Below are 21,482 nucleotides of genomic sequence, written 5' to 3' on the forward strand. Positions count from 1 at the left end.
GTAGCTGGGATTACAGGTGCACAACACCACGCCTGGCTAATTTTGTGTGTGTGTGTGTGTGTGTGTGTATGTGTGTGTGTGTGTGTGCGCGCGTTTAGTAGAGATGGAGTTTCACCATGTTGGCCAAGCTTGTCTTGAACTCCTGACCTCAAGTGATCCGCCTGCCTCAGCCTCCCAAAGGGCTGGGATTACAGGCATGGGCCACCGCGCCCAGCCCATAAATATGTAAAGTTTTTAAAAGGACAAAATATGTATGTAACTTTGCACCTCCTCTCTCTGTCTCTCTCTCCCTCTCTCTTTCAACTTCTGACCATGGTGTGAAAATTCAGGAAAACTGAAAGGTGGATAAAAGATAAACTAATTCAATATTGGGATAAATTAAAGACTTCAATCTTAATTATGTGTTGGACAAAGAAAAATAGAGATGTAGTCAAAATTTCTAATGAGTCCTTAAACTTACCTAAGGGTTAATTGTTTTTCAGTCTTTCTCCAAATTTCTCATCCACTTTGGAATGCATTTAATAAGCAATCAGCTAAAACTTTGCTGTGTGATCTTCACAAAGATTTCTGTTTTTATAAGGATACATATCTCAAAGATATTGTGTATGCACTGTGAACCATTATTTCACTTATTCTAAGAGATATATTTCATCATCTTTTAATATATCTGAAATAATAATGGATCTTAAATGATAGTAGATCATATTTTAAATGGTAGCATTATTTCTTTGTGTTTCTTTCTTAGTGGTACATCCTGTAGTTGAGGGCTTCTTACACCTGATGAAATACCATAGGTTCTGCATGTCAGGTATTGTTCCAGTGCTTTATTTATATTTAATATTTCAATACATTTGAAGGTATTAAATCATTTAATCCTCATAACAACCCTAGAGTACTATTTTAATTTTCTTTTCACAAGTGAGGAAACTGAGATACAGAATAGTACTATAACCTGTTAAGGATTATAGAGCTAATAATAGCATAGCTGGTGTTTGAATCTAGACTGGCTCTAGCATTGAGTTTCAATCTCTGCACTTTATTGTCTGGTTCTGTGTTTCTTTATGGACCAAGGTTATGTCATGCTTATTGATTCAAGCATGCAGCAATGGCCCCGGTATAATTTCTTGAACTTGATATGGCAAACACATTTTTACAGAGTAAACTTAAGAAGCATTCTACCTCAAAACGCTTAGGAAGTGAAACAGTGCATTGGGAGATACCATAGAAAAGTAATAACACCAGTAGTTCTCCAAGCTTCTGTGTTTGCAGCAAAGTTGTACATTGAAGTGTTTGGCAGAATGCACGCCAATCCAAGTTATGTTCAATAACTTGGATTATATCAGTATGTGCTGGTGTTTCTAAAACAACCTATTTATTGTGTACAATTCTTTCAGCTCTTCTTCGATAGTCTGCCACTGTATTTATATACCTGTTCCTGCCCTGACCACACTCTCTCATTCATTACTGAAACAAATTTTCCAAATAATTCTTATTTTATCTTGCTGCTAGCCTACGCCTCTTAATTGCACTTAATTGACTTGAAGCATATTTAACATCTACATGCCTTGGTTTACTCATAAGTAGCATATGGATAATACTAAGGGGTAATATTATAAGTGACCTTGGAGTTGGGAATATTAAATGAGTAAACGCATTGTGCCATTCATCTAGCAAGCATTAAAACTAGCCATCATTCTTATCACCACTGTTATTGTTAATAACACCATTCCAAAACCATTCTGTCATCTTTACATTTTGTTACCTGGAAATTTGTTTGTCCTTTCCAAAGGCAAAATATATACAAGTTTTTCTTCACTTTGTGCTGTCAATTTGGCATCAGAGATGTGCTGCTTAACCAGTGATGTTATACTCTCTGGATCACACCTTTCATTCAGATGCAAACTAACATTTAAAAAGAATAAAAGTTATTTTTATCCAACTGTGTCTATAAAACAATTTCCTAATTATGTAGTATGTGCTTGTCACTTTATTAATATTTATGAGACAAAAAAATGTGTAGTTTACTGGACAAAGTAAGATGTAAAACTACTAATAAAGTCCAAACCATTAAATCTATGCAACATGGCAGAAGAATTAGTATAAGGGATGATTAGAGTGGGAAGAGGTAACTCAAGGACTCTTATTTGGAGAAATGAGATATTAAGCCAGATCTTGCCTGGGGTGAGGTAAAGGGAAATGTTTAATTTGTCAGCATCTACTCAAAAACCCAACCTCCCAACCTTGAGCTTTCCCTTTGTAGTAATGTATGAGTTCTGCCGAAACTCAGACTTGAGCATGAGAAAACAAAAAATGGAGGTGATGTGATACAGTCATTAAGAATGTGGCCCCATGTCATGCTAATGCAGATTCTGCTAAAGCTAATTTTATCATTTTGGGGCCCAAAATTTATTCAAGTGAAATCTGGCCTGTCTTTATTAAGAATATATAAAATTACTCATGAAATTATTTGATTTTTGAAACTCCACTGTTAATCACATACATTGAAAGGTGCTGAGGTGACAGAGTGGTGAGAAGATCACAATTGACTGATGATACAAACCTAAAAAATCAGTTTGAAAAAAAGGCTATTCTGTACTTACAAGGTATAGTACTTACAAGTGCTATCAAGAATACCAAATAGGAAGAATGCAGTACCTTCTCTAAAGAAGCTTCCAACATAAAAATAATATAAAGCAGCATATGACAGAAGATGTGAGGGAGAAGGAAGTTGAGTTAACTCAGTTGAGCACTTTGCAGCTTGTCAAGTATTCATTCACTCAATATTTCTTAGCCTTAACTGCAAAGTAGGTATTATTACTGCTATTACATAAATGAAGTTACTGAGGATCAAAGAAGTTAATTAAGTTGCCTAAGGCAACAGTTCAAAATAGTGCTTTCAGCGTTCCAGAAAAGAGGATACTCATTAAGGAGAAAATACTTTCAGAAATGGTTAAGACTTGGACATGGTTAAATGGGTTGAAGAAGAACATGTTTGACAGATATCCTCTCTCAAGCAGAAACAAGACAACTGAACTATGAAACATAGCTAGAGAATAGTGAGTATTCAATAGAGGGTATTGATTCTACTAGATTGTAACAAGTAGTAATGATAGATTGGTAGATTTGTAACAAGTAGTAATGATAGATTGGTAGATTTGATCAGATTAGCCACTTTGAGTAAAAAATGAGGGGATCCATTTATCCATCAGGATGAAGTGATTTGAATCATTTTTTAAAAAATATCTACATTGCAATGCAAAATATAGGAAGCCATTCATATCACACCTGTAATTTTGAAACAAAGACTATCATTTACAAGTCGTGGAGATTGGCAGATTGTTAAAACTATCTGAAGTGGTATTTTCACTTGTCAAAGGGGAATAACAATAGTATCTTCTTAAAGTTATTTAGAGGATTGAATACAATAATATGAATATTCTATATGTAAATATCTTAGTAAGTACCTAAAACATAGCCAATACTTAAAAAGTAGTAGACATTACTCAGTAATGATAATAATTATTATCAGTAAGAGAAAAAAACCACAAAAGGATGGTGGAAAGAAATGAAGTCAGGGAGAATACAGGGTATTGAAATTGTCAAGATGAACAAAAATAAAACATCTAAAATATGAGAAGAGAAAGGGTCGGAATATCAACAAATTACTCTTAGCAAGCAACACGTTGTGAAAATATTTTTCAAAAATTTTATTTAAGCCTAGATTAATCATCCTTGCATGCTCAATGTCTATAATCTCATATATCCTGCATTCTAGCTAAAAAAGCAATTATGCCTTAGTTCTACCATAGCTCCCTTGAAATGAACTTAGTGGTTATAGGGCCTACTTTTACACATTGATGCTGATACCACCTGCCTCCAGCATTTTCAGCATCTGTCAACACGTCTCCAACATTCAGGGCTGTACCTTAAATGGTAGCCTATGCCCCATTTCTTCTTAAGGAACAGAGAAGAGCCTGCACACTTCAGCTTCCCATTGGATATGAACACCTTCCTGTCTAGTTAGAAATAATCAAAAGATAAGTTACATGAAGGACTTATTTCTTTACTATTCACAAAACACAAATCTATTAACAATGTATTGTAGCAGCATGACACACTAAAATAGATATACTCTAATTCTGGCCATACGTAAACCACTTTTTTTTGTCATCCAACAGCTCGAATGAGTGATAAATTATGTCAACTTATTCTTTAGCGTATTGAGAAAAATTATACATTTAAAGGATCTGTTTCAGTTACACTGACATCAAGACTGCCTAAAACAAATTGTATCTTAGAAAGTGTGATATGTATTTTACAACCAGAAAGCTGCTCTGCAATGGGCTCAGAATATTTCCATGGGGCCAAGTACTCTGGCATGCAGACCCACAAATGAGTAAGAGCAAAATTCTCCTGTCTTGGGCCATGGCAGTTCCAGGGAGACACAGCTGTGGAGCATACCTGTTCATATTCCACACTGTCTCTAACCTCTCATGAAGATACATAAGAGAAACAAAAAATTACCCGCCAGAATGTCAGCCTCATCTATAAACTGGGTGCTGAAGAGAATTACTCTGTCTGATTTCCCCTCTTTCAGGAGATTCCATATTCGGTGCCTTGAAAGAGGATCCAATCCAGCAGTCGGTTCATCCAATAGCAAAACCTGGACAGGAGGAAAGTCCTAAAGTAATTCCACCCTTTCGGATAAGATCCTTTTAAAAAGCACTGTACTTTTAAAAGTATTTGGGAGAAACTTGTTAGTACTTAATATTTCATCCTAAAAGTTCTCTTACATTTATCATTTGAAAATTGTTTGACCTAATAAAATAATTTTATAGTCTTCAATCTGATTTCACCAGTAATTTTTGTTTGACTTACTTGAGGATCTCCTAAAATGGCAATCCCAAAAGTTAGTTTCCTATTTTGTCCACCACTTAAGTTTTGAGCAAGGATGTCTTGAATATTTTCCATTTCTAATTCCTGTACAACTCGTTGTACCTAATCAAATAAAGAATATTTAGTCCAAAACCCAGAAAGTTTATTTTAAAAACACTATCATTTTTCTGTTCTTTACAAAGGGCCTTTTTGCCTGAAATTTAGATGAGGAATTATGTATAACTTAGCACAATATTTTCTAGATAAACCGTCTCTTTTTTATGGCTATGTGACATCTAATATGCTCACATACCTCTTTCTCCACTTCATGTGGCAAAATCCCTTTTATTTTAGCAAACAGCCTGAGGTTTTCTTTCACAGTGAGAAATCCAAATTGCACATTGGATTGTGGACAAAATCCAGTGAACTTGCTGATATTTTCTATATCAGCCATTCTTGAAAGTGTGTGATTATAGACAGTGACTGAACCTGAAAGCAGAAGGCAGAGAGTGACCATCAGGAAAATGTGTCATGCTTCATTGAAGATCTTTTAAAATGGAAAACACTGTATGTCAATTATTAGATTCATTTCAACATTGTTTACTTGTAAGGAATATGCAATGAACTGATTAAAAATGTAATGTTCACAATAACATCTGATCTAGCTGGAATGCTACTTAGTAACTTAATAACCATAAAACTATTTATGACATATTTAAAACACGAACAACATTTTTCTAAATAGGTATAATACAATTCAATAAAAGAATAAGAAAAACTTCTAAAATTTTTCTCTTATATAATGAGTAATGAAACTATTGAAGTTAATTAATAAAACCAATTACATAATTTTTTTTTGGAGATGGAGTCTCACTCTGTCGCCAGGCTGGAGTGCTGTGGCACGATCTAGGCTCACTGCAACCTCCGCCTCCCAGGTTCAAGTGATTCTCCTGCCTCAGTCTCCTGAGTGGCTGGGCCTACAGGCACCTGCCACCATGCCTGGCTAATTTTTATATTTTTAGTAGAGACGGGGTTTCACCATGTTGGCCAGGATGGTCTCCATCTCTTGACCTCATGATCCACCTGCCTCGGCTTCCCAAAGTGCTGGGATTACAGGTGTGAGCCACCGTGCCCAGCCCCAGTTAAATAATTAAATGCATATTAATGTGTTTGTCCAGGTACTTGTCCTTGGATAACTGTCTTCTTACCTGATGTTGGAACTGACAACCCACTAAGTATGTTTAACAGGGTAGTTTTTCCAGCTCCACTGTGACCAAGGAGGGCAGTGATCTGGCCTTCATATATGTCAAACACCACACCTGGCATGATTTTAAAAAAAATTACACTCAGAGCCTACATATTAACTTTACAGTCTCTGAAACTGTTGTAATTTTTTGCAGCATGAATAGATTGAGCTAGCAATATTCAAAATAAAATTCATCTTAAAATTCTTTCTTTTAAAACTGTATTTCAACATTTTGTAGTGATAGTATTGTCAATATGTTATTATGCAATTAATTTTTTTGATAAAAGCAGTTTTGTCAATAAATAGAGGCTAACAATAATACAATTTTAGAGCTGGAGAATAAGATGAGCTGAAACAAAGAATTTCATAATACTATCATATATCTTTCAAACCCACACGATTTTTAATGATACATTTTAATGATACTTTTAAAAATTGTTTTATGGGTTTTTTTTTTACATTGAAGGAAACATAATGTGTTCAAATAAAGGAGAGACATATCTGGAATATCTGTGCTTAATCCCTACCAAGAAATTACAACAGTAAGGCAGCCACTAAATCAAGCAGCCCCATTAAATAAAATATTATTTTATTACCTTTCAAAGCTTCTACTCTCTCACACTTCCCTGCATATTCTTTTTTAAGATTTTTGATTCTGAAAAAAAGAGGGAAATGTTTTCAGAGAATTGTAAAAATGTGCAGAGGATTGATAAGTCAAGTCTTTGAGGCTTAATCAAAGCCTCAAAGAAAATCTGGGATTCTTTTCTTGTAAAGCCTCAAAGAAAATCTGGGGATTATTTTCTTTCACACAGGCACTGGCAGAAGCACCCAGGGCAACTAATTAGAAGCAGAATCCCTGATCTTTCCAAAATGAACAGGCTAAAATATGGAGGGCACAGCTTAGCACACGGAAATATATTGTTAGAAGAATTGTGGCAAATGACTGGATATGAGGAAAGCTGAAGATAAAATCAGTGGTGAGGAGATACTATGGTGGAAAAAAGAAGAGAAAAAACACACCATAATAGAAACAGTAGGGCTTTGGAATCTAATCATTAAATGATTCACAACTGGTGAAGTCCCAGTTGTGCTACACACCAGCTCTGTTACAAATGCTGTGTACTCAAGACTCATTGAGTTCAGTTATTCAGCAGTGATATGGGGATGACATTAATTATCACACAGAGTTGGAATGTAGAGTAAATAAGATAATATACGCAGAACACAAAATACTTGGAACCTAGTAAACTTCCAAAGAAGATGAGAGAGGAGGAAAAAGACCAGGAAAATGATTTAAAACAAAGAAAGATTCTTAAAAGAGGGCAAAGAAAAATATTTTATCAGGAAAAATAACTAATGGGTACTAGACTTAATACCTAGGTGATAAAATAATCTGTAGAACAAACCCCCATGACACAACTTTACCTATGTAATGAACCTCCACATGTACCCCTGAACTTAAAATAGAAGTTAAAAAGAAGAAAAAAGATTTTAAGTGAGTTCAAGGACTACTTACTATAAGCCAGATCCAAAGCATTTTGTCTACATTTTTACTTACATTATCACAACAAACCAGCAGGTAGGTTGTATTCGCCTGCTTGGGCTGCTATAACAAAATACCATAGACTAGGTGGCTTAAAGAACAGACATTTATTTCTTATAGTTCTGAAGGATGGGAATTCCAAGATCAAGGTGTCAATAGATTTGGCTTCTGATGAGGGCTCTCTTCCTGGCTTGCAAAGAGCTGCCTTCTTGCTGTGTCATCACATGGCAGAGAGAGGGAAAAAGTGCAAGCTCTCTTGTGCCTCTTCTTATAAATACACTAGTTCCAGCAGGAAGGCCCCACCCTCATGATCTCATCTAACCCTAATTACTTCCTAAGACTTTATCTTCAAATACCATCATTTTAAGGGTTAGGGTTTCAACATATAAATTTTGAGGGGATATAATTCAATTTATCGAAGAGGTACAATCCAGTTAAATACAGAAGTAACTGAAGAGACTGGGCATTCAGATGCAATGACTTTCAAGTTGAGCACGTATGGATTCAAATACTGTTTCTCTTTTTAAACTTCGTAGCCTTGGGCAAGTTGGTTTTTCCTAGTCTCTTTTTCCCTATCTTTTCTTTTTAAAACAATAATAGGTATCAGCTTGCTTTATTCCTTCATTTCATCTAAGCAATAGAAATGATAAATTTTTTCCATATGTTTTGATAGCATTTAACTTTCATGTTTAGATTGTAGATTATTAGATTAGAATCTATACTGTGGTTGGTATAATAATACCTTTTAATTGACATTTCACTTTTCTGCCTTCTATACTGAGAGGTGATTATGAGTCCAGCTGGCTTCACCTCTGGGATAGAATGGTGCAGTCTTCAGAACTCTGTGCACTGGTCTGTTGGGTGCCGCACCAGCCACAGTAATGACGCAGGACTGGCAGTCTTGAGTAGCCATGCCACAGATAAAATCTCCTACACTTTCCTAACAGTCAGCTATGTGAGACCCTGCTTCCAATCTCCACCCGTTGCTAGGGATAATTTTTCTAGACCATAAGACTAGTCTTATTACCCACAATTTGCAAATCTTCAATACCCTCCTCCTTGCCCAATGGATAAATTAAAACCCCTTATTTCATCATTCAAGGCTTCCTATGATCTCTCTGATAGGACCTAATTCTGTTATAGGCACTGGAAAGAACATAAAACTTAGAGTTCCAGCTTAGAAAGATGTCATGATTCTTGAAAAGATTGCTATGTTTACATGCTCATAAGGAATGAGCAAATGCTGCTCTTTGTTGTATGTTCATATTGGACCTATGTTCAGAGACTGTATCATAAATGTCCTGAGTTAAAATATTACTGAAAGAGATATATCAGAAAGGTATTACTGAGGAGTGAGATGAATACAACATTGAATGATGAACAAAATTTGAGCAAAGATCTGGGGTATTAGAGATTTCTAGCTGTTTGGAAATCAAAGCAACCAGAATTGAATAAAGCATGTCCATCATCTAAGAGGGAAGATAGGCATGAAACTAACAGTCCTGACTTCTGATGTTTCCTTCCCATCTCTCTGGAGTGTCCTCTTCCCATGCCTGCATCGCTTGCCTCTTTCTCCTCATCTAATTATAAGCCAGGAAGGGAAGATGAGAGGGACAAATTGAATTAATAAAAAAGGGGGTTGAGAATAATAGCAAGGGAGACGATGGCAGTGTTTGTCACAAAGAGAACAACTCAGGGGAGAAAAACACAAAGAGGAGAAATAAGAAAGATAATGTGGAAAATGGAAATTCAAAAATTATTTACTTGTGGACGGTTGTTACTATACCATGAAATATTAGTAAATGTAAGTGCTGAGAATGTGAGAAAATAGAGTGCTATGAAGGATGAGTATAGCCTTTGATGAGTGCAGCAGGCTGGCTGTAGGTGGGTACAGAGGGCACAGAAGGCGATCTTTGCTCCTAGTGTGTCACCTGACAGATCCCCAGTCTCTGCCTGTTCTCCATTGGTGCCTCCAAGTAATTTATTGGTTACCTGATGGCTTCTTTCCCACAGAATTCTGGAGACACTGGTTCAAAACAGTCATTAGGTGTAGGATCAGAATCTGTTTCATTCTCAAGGACCACATGATTAGCCCTTCCGTGTTGAAACCAAAAACAGGATTTCAGGAAAAACAAGGGAGAACATCGATGTCCATATTCAGCTATGTGAGCAGGAGGCAATTGAATACTGGGTCAGTCATCGCTTCAAGGATTCCATCAGCATATCAGTGCAGCCCCTTTGACATTAAACCTGAACCCACATTATCATATTAAGGTCTGTATTAATTACTGTTTTAATGTGCTTTTGACACACACAGAACAGTGAGGAGAAAATAACAGAGATGGCTAATATGACGTTTTTAACATGAGAAGCATGTAGCATTGTTAACTAACTAAAAAGCTCCTCAAAATGCAGAGAGATGTCTCAGGAGGAATTTAAATCTAATTAAGAACAATTTTCTATCTAGCTGTACTTATGTGTCCTTTTTATTTTTTATTTTTTAAGATGGAGTCTCACTCTGTCACCCAGGCTGCAGTCCAGTAGCATGATCCCGGCTCACTACAACCTCTGCTTCCCGGGTTCAAGCAATTCTCCTGCTTGTGATTTCCTCCATTTGGATTAGATAAGGTCAATACACCAAGAATAATAGTAAATGTCATAACACTAATGATACATTCCAAAATTTCTTACTTGGGAAGTTTTAAAATAATCAGCGAGTCATTATTCTGTATCAGTACTCCCAGAAACGTGATGAATAAACTATTCAGAAGGTCTCTTCCTTCCCTTCATTTCCCAATTTCCCTTTCTGCCTCTTCCTTAGCACTTACCTAGTATATACGAGGAATTGACAGACAGACCCCAGAGATGCACAGATGAAGATTTTGTTTCTCTATAGGAAAGATTGTACATAAGGGCGGCATGGTAGCTCATGCCTGTAATTCCAGCAGTTTGGGAGGCCAAAGGGGCAGATCACCTGAGGTCAGGAGTTCAAGACAGCCTGGTCAACATGGTGAAACCTCGTCTCCACTGAAAACACAAAAATTAGCCAGGCATGGTGGGGCATGTCTGTAGTCCCAGCTACTCAGCAGGCTGAGGCACGAGAATCACTTGAACCCGGGAGGCAGAGGTTGCAGTGAGCAGAGATCGCGCCACTGCACTCCAGCATGGGTGACAGAGCGAGACTTCTCAAAAAAAAAAAAAAAAAAAGGAAAGAAAGAAAGGAAAGATTGTACATCGACTATGCAATTATAATATTTTTACTAATAACCCACTATTGTATATCAAGTGAGTTAAATGGGAAAGCACTTAGAGATTTCTAAGATCAAGTATCAAGCACCAGCATTCTTCATCTAGTTCTGACATAAACACTAATAGTATCATCATCCATAATCTCTCACAAGTGTCTCTTTTTAAAAAGAAACACTCTGGAGTGTTATAGCAGAGCCAAGTCTTAGAAAGTGATTCTATAAACAAACTATAGAATATCATTAGGCTTGTTGTAGAAATTTTGAAAAACTGCTTGCTAATTTTTATTTAGTACATTGTAGAGTTGTTTTAAAGACATGCAATTATTGAAATTGTGTTAAATTACAGCCATGTTAGTACTTACCGGGCAAAATTTTGTCAAAATATAATGTCAATACCAAATACAGAAGGGTGTCAAAAACCAACATGAAAAGAGTAGCTATTATGAGGTATGGATTTTGTGAAGAATCCAAGTGGGCATTAGAATTCACATCATAGTCCAAATGTATAAGCTGAAAAAGAAAGATACAGTGAATTTTAAAAGAATTAATATGGCATTAAGAATTATTATTGTTTTATTTCTGCTACAACTGGGTTTGCAAAGATAAATAAGATATAATCTTGTCTCTACAGAGCTCTGTCTACTATTATAGAAGACAATTTTAATAGCAATGAAGTGATGTCAATTTGGGAAATGAATGGAAGTTAGTACTAGTACTGAGTACTAAGAAACCCACAGGCAGCCCCAGGTACATTTTCTAGGAGGAAGTACAAACTCAAGAAAGGTGATATTTGAGCTGGACCTAATATAGTTTACAAAACTCTGTATGTCAGTACAAGAAGTGTTTTTAAATTTTTTGTTTATTTGTTTGTTTTTTGAGACAGGGTCTCACTCTGTTACCCAGGCTGGAGTACAGTGGTGCTATTTCAACTCACAGCAGGCTCAGCCTCCTGGACCTAGGTGATTCTCCCACATCAGCCTCCAGAGTAGCTAGGACTACAGATGCACTCCACCATGACTGGCTAATTTTTTTTTATTTGTGGAGATGGGGTTTCACCATGTTGCCCAGGGTGGTCTTGAACTTCTGCCACAGGAGATCCACCCATCTTAGCCTCCCAAAGTGCTATGATTTACAGGTGTGAGTCACAGCATCAGTCTTTAAAAATTCTTTTTGATGGCTGCACATTTTCCATTGTATGGATGGACTGTAATTTATTTAACCAGTAATCTACCAATGGACATTTACGTTGTTTTCAATCTTATTACAGACTGTGCTGCAATAGGACTTTTTTGGGCTTAGAATGAGAAAAAAGGAGGGCATTCTCAACAAGGAAGTCCATTTCAGAGTGAAAACATGAAACAGTAAAATACTTCAGTAGTTGGGCAGAAGACAGAAGAATAATGTCTTAACTGGACTGCGGTAGGATACAATGAGTTTATATCTAGCAGAACCTTTCATTTAGCATATTATAGTTATGATATCATAACTAAAATTAACTTTTCTGAGACAAGGTTCAGTTTCATGTAGAAATGAGCAATTAAAAAATAAAGATATATTTATTCCAAATTCCTGGTTTTTAAATGCTTGTGATAACATTAAGGGTCATGTTTCCTGAGCACTGAATGAGACAAATGTTCTCTGGGACAACCAATTAGAAGTAGAAGCTGAAACATCTCAATAATAAGGGTATGATCCTATATTTAGTGACTTATGGGGAAACTAATTACACTGAGAGAGAAAAATTAAAGTCACTCCTGTCTCATACATGTTTATTTTTACAAAAGTTATAGAATGGAATGCTTAGAGCATGTTGTGTGAATTATTAAGAGGGAATCTGTGTAGAACGGTTTGTAAAAAGTGAAAGTGTTACCTTAACTCTTACCTGGGCCATCCCAACAGTGAAGGCAAAGGGGCTAAGAAGACACAAAGTCCATTCCAAAAATGCAGGAAGACGTGTATACAATGCTGGGAATCCCAGGATCCCCCAAAAGACAATAAGGAGAAACACAACCAAGCCCGTAAGGAAAGGTTTCTTTATCAACACACTCATCAGGAAAGCTAAAGTTATCTGAGAAAAGAGAAAGACTTCAGCTGGTATATAATTCTGTGAGAACAGTAGCACAAAAAAGGAATTTTATATTATAAAAGTATATTTTATATTTTTCCACCCCTAGACACTGTTTCATGCAAATACTACAAAGAGAACAAAAGAGGTGAGACCAGAATTAGTGATAAATTATTGGCAGTAGAGAGAGAGAAAGAGAATAAAAGACTTAGATGAAATTAACCAACTCACCAAAGACAGGCCATAGAGGAGAAAGAGGGTGAAGACCATCACAAAACCAGTCAGGACGACAATTTGTGCAGATTTTACAATAAGAGCCATTAAAGTGGCCATGATAAGGATGAAGCCAGCATACATCAAACCCCAGGAAAGCCTAGCAGAGAAACAAAGCCGTCAGTTAGAATGTTGTTACTTCATCACTTCCTTGATTCATTTATTCAGCAAATGATTTGTGAAGCTCACCATTTATCAAGGGTAAAGGAAAAGAAAATGCAATAGCTAACTTATCTCCTACCCTCAGGATCACATAATATAAAAGAAGGTAGGCAATAAACAAGTAGAGAGGAAAATTGATAACTAAATTGCAAAATAAGTAAAGCTGGATGATACAATGGATGTCACTGGGAGAGGTTTCCAGAGAGAGCTTTTCTGGGAAGACATCTATGCTGATTTCTCAGCTCTGGACAAGTTTTTCAGTAAGGTTATTGTATAAATAATATGGACAAAAAAGTAGATAATGGAGCAGGGTTCAGCAAACTTTTTTTCTAAATAGCCACATTGTGAATATTTTCAGCTTTGCAGGCTGTACAGTTTCTGTTGCCATTGTAGCACAAACACAGTCATAAACAATATGTTAGTGATGTGTGGCTGTGTTTCAATAAAATGTATTTATGGACAACAAAATTTGAATTTCATATACATTTTCACATGCCACAAAATATTATTGTTCATTGAATTTTTTTCCCAAGCATTTATAAATGTAAAAGACATCTAGCCAAACTAAGCTTCATAAGTGAAGGAGAAATAAAATTCTTTACAGACAAGCAAATGCTGAGGGATTTTGTCACCACCAGGCCTGCCTTTCAAGAGCTCCTAAAGGAAGCACTAAATGTAGAAAGAAAAAACCAATAGCAGCTACTGCAAAAACAAGCCAAAATATAAAGACCAACGACACTATGAAGAAATTGCATCAACTAATGTGCAAAATAACCAGCCAGCATCATGATGACAGGATCAAATTCACACATAACAATATTAACCTTAAATGTAAATGGGCTAAATGCCCCAATTAAAAGACACAGATGCCAGTATCCAATTTGCCGAATTGGATAAAGAGTCAAGACCCATTTGTGTGCCGTATTCAAGAGACCCATCTCAGGTGCAAAGACACACATAGGCTCAAAATAAAGGAATGAAGGAATATTTACCAAGTAAATGGAAAGCAAAAAAAAAAAAAAAAAAAAAAAAAAAGCAGAGGTTGCAATCCTAGTCTCTGATAAAACAGACTTTAAACCAACAAAGATTAAAAAAAGACAAAGAAGGCCATTACATAATGGTAAAGGGATCAATGCAACAAGAAGAGATAAGTATCCTAAATATATAGGCACCCAATACAGGAGCACCCAGATTCATAAAGCAAGTTCTTAGAGACCTACAAAGACACTTAGACTCTGACACAATAATAATGGGAGACTTTAACACCCCACTGTCAATATTAGACAGATCAATGTGACAGAAACTTAACAAGGATATTTAGGACTTGAACTTAGCTATGGACCAAGCAGACCTAATAGACATCTACAGAACTCTCCACCCAAAATCAACAGAATATACTTTCTTCTCAGCACCACATAGCACTTATTCTAAAATCGACTACATAATCGGAAGTAAAACACTCCTCAGAAAATGCAAAAGAACGGAAATCATAACAAACAGTTTCTCAGACCACAGTGCAATCAAATAAGAACTCAGGATTAAGAAATTCACTCAAAACTGCACAACTACATGGAAACTGAATGACCTGCTCCTGAATGACTACTGGGTAAATAACAAAATTAAGGCAGAAATAAATAAGTTTTTTGAAATCAATGAGAACAAAGACACAACATACCAGAATCTCTGGGACACAGCTAAAGCAGTGTTTAGAGGAAAATTAATAGCACTAAATGCCCACAGGAGAAAACGGGAAAGGTCTAAAATTGATACCCTAACATCACAATTAAAAGAACTGGAGAAGCAAGAGCAAACAAATTCAAAAGCTATCAGGAGACACAAAATAACTAAGATCAGAGCAGAACTGAAGGGGATAGAGACATGAAAAACCCTGCAAAAAAAATCAATGAATCCAGGAGCTGTTTTTTTTAAAAGATTAACAAAATAGATAGACTTCTAGTCAGACTAATAAAGAAGAAAAGAGAGAAGAATCAAATAGATACAACAAAAAATGATAAAGGGGATATCACCACTGATCCCACAGAAATACAAACTACCATCGGAGAATATAATAAACACCTCTACGCAAATAAACTAGAAAATCTAGAAGAAATAGATAAATTCCTGGACACCTACAACCTCCCAAGACTAAACCAGGAAGAAGTTGAATCCCTGAATTGACCAATAACAAGTTCTGAATTGAGGCCATAATTAATAGCCTACCAACCAAAAAAAGCTCAGGACCAAACAGATTCACAGCTGAATTCTACCAGAAGTACAAAGGGGAGCTGGTACCATTCATTCTGAAACTATTCCAAACAATAGAAAAAGAGGGACTCCTCCCTAACTCATTTTATGAGGCCAGCATCATCCTGATACCAAAACCTGGCAGAGACACAATAAAAAAAGAAAATTTCAGGCCAATATTCCTGATGAACATTGATGCAAAAATCCTCAATAAAATACTGGCAAACGGAATCCAGCAGCACATCAAAAAGTTTATCCACCATGATCAACTTGGCTTCATCCCCGGGATGCAAGGCAGGTTCAACATATGCAAATCAATAAATGTAATCCATCATATAAACAGAACCAGTCACAAAAACCACATGATTATCTCAAGAGATGCAGAAAATGCCTTCAATAAAGTTCAACACCCCTTCATGCTAAAAACAGTCAATGAACTAGGTATTTATGCAACATATCTCAAAATAATAACAGCTATTTATGACAAACCCGTAGCCAATATCATACTGAATGGGCAAAAGCAGAAACATTCTCTTTGAAAACCAGCACAAGACAAGGACGCCCTCTCTCACCACTCCTATTCAACATAGTATTGGAAGTTCTGGCCAGCACAATCAGGCAAGAGAAAGAAATAAAGGGTATTCAAATAGGAGGAAAGGAAGTCAAATTGTCTCTGTTTGCAGACAACATGATTGTATATTTAGAAATCTCCATCGTCTCAGCCCAAAAACTCCTTAAGTTGATAAGCAACTTCAGCAAAGTCTCAGGATACAAAATCAATGTGCAACAATCACAAACATTCCTATACACCAATAATAGACAGACTGCCAAATCATTAGTGAACTCCCATTCACAATTGCTACAAAGAGAATAAAATACCTAGGAATACAACTTACAAGGGATACTAAGGACCTCTTCAAGGAGAACTACAAATAACTGCTCAAGGAAATAAAAGAGGACACAAACAAATGGAAAAACATTCCATGCTCATGGATAGGAAGAATCAATATTGTGAAAATGGCCATACTGTCCAAAGTAATTTATAGATTCAATGCTATTCCCATCAAGCTACCGTTGACTTTCTTCATAGAATTAGAAAAAACTACTTTAAATTTCATATGGAACCAAAAAAGAGCCCACATAGCCAAGACAATCCTAGGCAAAAAGAACAAAGCTGGAGGCATCACACTATTTGACTTCAAACTGTACTGAAAGGCCACAGTAACTAAAACAGCATGGTACTGGTACCAAAACAGATATATAGACAAATGGAGAGCCCTCAGAAATAACACTGCACATCTATAGCCATCTGATCTTTGACAAACGTGACAATAACAATAAATAGGGAAAGGATTCCCTATTTAATAAATGATGTTGGGAAAACTGGCTAGCCAAATGCAGAAAACAGAAACTGGACCCCTTCCTTACACCTTATACAAAAATTAACTCAAGATGGATTAAAGACTTGAACATAAGATCTAAAACCTTAAAAACCCTAGAAGAAAACCTAGGCAATACCATTAAGATATAGCCATAGGCAAAGACTTCATGACTAAAACACTGAAAGAAATAGCAACAAAAGCAAAAATTGACAAATGGGATCTAATCAAACTAAAGAGCTTCTGCAGATCAAAGGAAACTACAATCAGAGTGAACAGGCAACCTACAGAATGGGAGAAAGTTTTTGCAGTCTATCCATCTGACAAAGGTCTACTATCCAGAATCTACAAGGAACTTAAACAAATTTACAATAAAAAAACTAACAACCCATCAAAAAGTAGGCAAAGGATATGAACAGACACTTCTCAAAAAGAAGACACTTATGCAGCCAACAAACATATGAAAAAAAGCTCATCATCACTAGTCATTAGAGAAATACAAATCAAAACCACAATGAGATACCATCTCACACCAGTTAGAACGGTGATCATTAAAAAGTCAGGAAACAACAGATGCTGGAGAGGATGTGGAGAAATAGGAATGCTTTTATATTGTTGGTGGGAGTGTAAACTAATTCAACCATTGTGGAAGACAGTGTGGCAATTCCTCAAGGATCTAGAACTAGAAATACCATTTGACCCAGCAATCCCATTACTGGGTATATACGCTAAGGATCATAAATCATTCTACTATAAAGACACATGCACACGTATATTTATTGCAGCACTATTCACAATGGCAAAGACTTGGAACCAACCCAATGCCCATAAATGCTAGACTGGATTTAAAAAATGTGGCACATATACACCATGGAATATATGCAGCCATAAAAAAGAATGAGTTCATGTCAATTGCAGAGACATGCATGAAGCTGGAAAACATCATTCTCAGCAAACTATCACAGGAACAGAACACCAAACACCGCATGTTCTCACTCAAAAGTGAGAGTTGAACAATGAGAACATATGGGCACAGGGAGAGGAACATCACACACTGGGACCTTTCAGGGAGTAGGGAGCAAGAGGAGAGATAGCATTAGGAGAAATATCTAATGCATGTGGGGCTTAAAACTTAGATGAAAGGTTGATGGTTGCAGCAAACCACCATGGCACATGTATACCTATGTAACAAACCTGCACATTCTGCACATGTATCCCAGAACTTAAAGTATGATAAAAAATGTAAAAGAAATTCCTAATTTGCAAATTGTACAAAAACAGCTGATAGATTACCAATCCCCAATATAGATAATTAGATATAGATACACATTTATACATACCCACAGGACACAGATAGATACAGACATATAGACGAATATGAAGATATCTTTTCCCTTACTATCAATGCCAAATAAACAGGAAGAAAGTTCTTTAAAGGAGAAAGAGAAAAAGCTTTCTAATCACAGATCTGAGTTAGTTCCAGTTTCTCCTGCTACATTGTAACTATATAATCCTGAGAGGTAGTTATTTAATCTCTTCAAACTTCAGTTTTTTCTGGTGGAAAACAGGAAAATTAAATGAAATTATTTATTTTATGGGTTTAATATGGCAACTGGCTTATAGTGTGTCCACAATGAACAGTTAGTTTTTATTTAAAGTAGAAAATGCCATCATGTTTTGGGATGGCTTATTTTTAAGGGCTAATTGTAATAACTCCCTTTGCACAGTACACTTTCATTCATCTGAAATTGTTCATCTATATTCTATAAACTCTCCTTAGTTCCACTTAAATGCTGTACAAGTAAAATGCCTTAGGCTTTTCTTATGAGAGGAAAAAAAATGCCCTGATTTTTAATCCTTTCTCACTGGATTATTATTTTTAAAATCATCTTGGTTATTTTTCTATAATTCTTTGTATATCATTTTTTAAAAAATAGGCTGGGGTGGCGGCTCACACCTGTAATCACAGCACTTTGGGAGGCCGAGGCAGGTGGATCACTTGAGGTCAGGAGTTCAAGACCAGCCTGGCCAACATAGTGAAACTCTTTCTCTACTAAAAGTACAAAGATTAGCCGGGCATGGTGGCACTCGCCTGTAGTCACAACTACTAGGGAGGTTGAGGCAGAAGAATCACTTGAACCCGGGAGGGGGAGGTTGCAGTGAGCCAAGATCACGCCACTGCACTCCAGCCTGGGTGACGGAGCAAGACTCTGTCTCAAAAAAATAAAAAAAAAGAAAGAAATTATCTATCTATCTATCTATCTATCTATCTATCTTGACCAAATTTTTTTAGTACTGAGTTAACTCAATTTTGATACAGAAAAGGACATCAGAGAAAAACTTTCATCATAAACCAAAGAAGTAATTCATCTTCTCCACTTCTCCACCCGGTATATTGAACACTTGTGTAGAAAATCACATAAACTTTATTTTTTTCTACTCAGTAATGTCTAATATTCTTTGAAAGCCTATGTAGCATACGCCCAGAACCCTTATATGCATTCTACATATCTTATTTAACAGGGAGATAATATCACAGTGTGTAAAGGGCAAATTCAAGATTCAAGCCATTTCTTTCTGACTCCAGAACTCAGGCTTTTACTGCATCTGTCTCTAATGCATCACTTGGCTAAACTCTTGAAACTATCTTGCCATTAATTGACAATTCAACCCTTGTTTCCTAACTTGCCTCTACTGTCATCTCTGGCCATAAAGCTCCCCATATCTCCATCAACTGACACTTAATATTGAGTGTTTATTCTTAACCACCATGTAAAACATTTTAGATACATTTCTTTCTTTTAATTCTCAGGACCAATGAGAGGTGCATATTATTATCTACGTTTTACAGAAGAGAAAACTGAAGTTTAAAGAGTTTAAGTAATTTTCCAAGATGGTAGCTACTGAATGCTGAGATGGAGACAACCCGTGGCTTCTTGCCTCCCAGGCTTACCACAGTGCTCTACGGCCTCAGCTAAAATATCTCAATGTTTAAAGAACATAAAAGGTTTTCTTTTTGCTCAGTGTCATAAAAGTGATGACTCATCCAACACTGGGTCAAAAATCAATCACCATTCCTAACATAAGGTATCTGAAACATGTATTTTACTGAATATTGGAAACCTCACGTGTTTGTGTATTTGGGTTCACCCATATATGGTAACTAGTGACCAAGTAATCATCTGGCGCCCTGAGTATTGGCAAACATCTACAGGATAAGGCTGTCTTTAAGTCAAATAAATTTGGAAAGTTTCAAGTCACCAAGTCTGCATGGTCATCTGCTCAACTCATTTATAAACATACTACTTTATGAAAGTGGCAACATTTGTATTGCTTTAGAGATCTAAGGCAGCAGTCCCCAACCTTTTTGGCACCAGGGACCAGTTTCATGGAAGACAGTTTTTCCACAAACAGGAGTGGGGAGATGGTTTTGGGATGATGCATGTGGATTACATTTATTGTGCACTTTATTTCTATTATTATTACATTGTAATATATAATGAAATAATTATACAACTTACCATAATGTAGAATCAGTAGGAACCCTGAGCTTGTTTTCCTGCAACTAGATCCCATCTGGGGGTGATGGGAGACAGTGACAGATCATCAGGCATTGGATACTCATAAAGAGCCCGCAACCTAGATCTCTTGAGTGACAGATCATCAGGCATTGGATACTCATAAGGAGCCCGCAACCTAGATCTCTCACATACACAGTTCACAATAGAGTTTGAGCTTCTGTGATACTCTAATAACGTGGCTATTCTGACAGGAGGTGGAGCTCAGGTGGTAATGTGAGCAATAGGGAGTGGCTGTAAATATACATGAAGCTTTGCTCACTTGCCTGCCACTCACCTCCTGCTATGTGGCCTGGTACCTAACTGGCCATGGACCAGTAGCAGTCTGTGGCCTGGGGCTTGGGGACCCCTGGTCTAAGGAGTCAACCAGCTAAGTTGTTCTGTTTGTTTATGCTGTATAATGGATTGGAGTCATATGATTTACCAGAATGCTGACTCTCGGAGTCCCATCATTGTCATCAATGACGTAATGTATTGTCTTTCTTGTGTAACATTGACTGATACATAGTATATAAATGTAGAAAAAGAAATAATGCAAAAGAAAATGAAAAAATCAGTTGCAACTCCTCCTTGGGCAACAAAAGGTAATATCTTCATATGTACACCAGTAACTGACATCAGCTGTTCCATCACTGAATGATTTGTTGCGATCTGAAGAAAGATATCAATGAACAAATTGTTATCATCAATCTAATTCCAACCTTAGGCTTTTTCTCTAAATTATAAGGAATCACGTACATTCTACATTTATGTATTTTATGTTTATATGCCCTTCATGATCTGGCCCCTTGTGGTTCCTGGAACACTTTAGGTTTTGTCGTGACTCCTTAGAACATCATCAACCTCACTGGACAAAACGCTACTCCTGT

General features: G+C 36.4%; 1 protein-coding gene across 11 annotated transcripts in view; it reads right to left on the reverse strand.

Moving 5' to 3' along the window:
* The window catches only part of ABCA9 (ATP binding cassette subfamily A member 9), a 104,490-nt gene that overhangs the window by 47,964 nt on the left and 35,044 nt on the right, over positions 1-21,482 (reverse strand). For all 11 annotated transcript variants that reach the window (XR_007065256.1, XM_017024011.2, NM_080283.4 and 8 more), the window contains 12 exons: positions 21,038-21,264; positions 13,209-13,350; positions 12,795-12,980; positions 11,275-11,422; positions 9,657-9,825; positions 6,718-6,776; positions 6,084-6,194; positions 5,189-5,364; positions 4,879-4,998; positions 4,525-4,663; positions 3,926-4,016; positions 1,763-1,902 (listed from right to left, as the gene is read on the reverse strand). Coding sequence is in view for 10 of the 11 variants with exons in the window: in XM_017024011.2 (XP_016879500.1) it covers positions 1,763-1,902; positions 3,926-4,016; positions 4,525-4,663; positions 4,879-4,998; positions 5,189-5,364; positions 6,084-6,194; positions 6,718-6,776; positions 9,657-9,825; positions 11,275-11,422; positions 12,795-12,980; positions 13,209-13,350; positions 21,038-21,264 (1,708 nt within the window). In the remaining variant the exon portion in view is untranslated. The remainder of the gene's footprint in view (positions 1-1,762; positions 1,903-3,925; positions 4,017-4,524; positions 4,664-4,878; positions 4,999-5,188; positions 5,365-6,083; positions 6,195-6,717; positions 6,777-9,656; positions 9,826-11,274; positions 11,423-12,794; positions 12,981-13,208; positions 13,351-21,037; positions 21,265-21,482) is intronic.

The sequence above is a fragment of the Homo sapiens genome, chromosome 17, assembly GCF_000001405.40.
Source record: "Homo sapiens chromosome 17, GRCh38.p14 Primary Assembly".
NCBI classification, from domain to species: domain Eukaryota; kingdom Metazoa; phylum Chordata; class Mammalia; order Primates; family Hominidae; genus Homo; species Homo sapiens.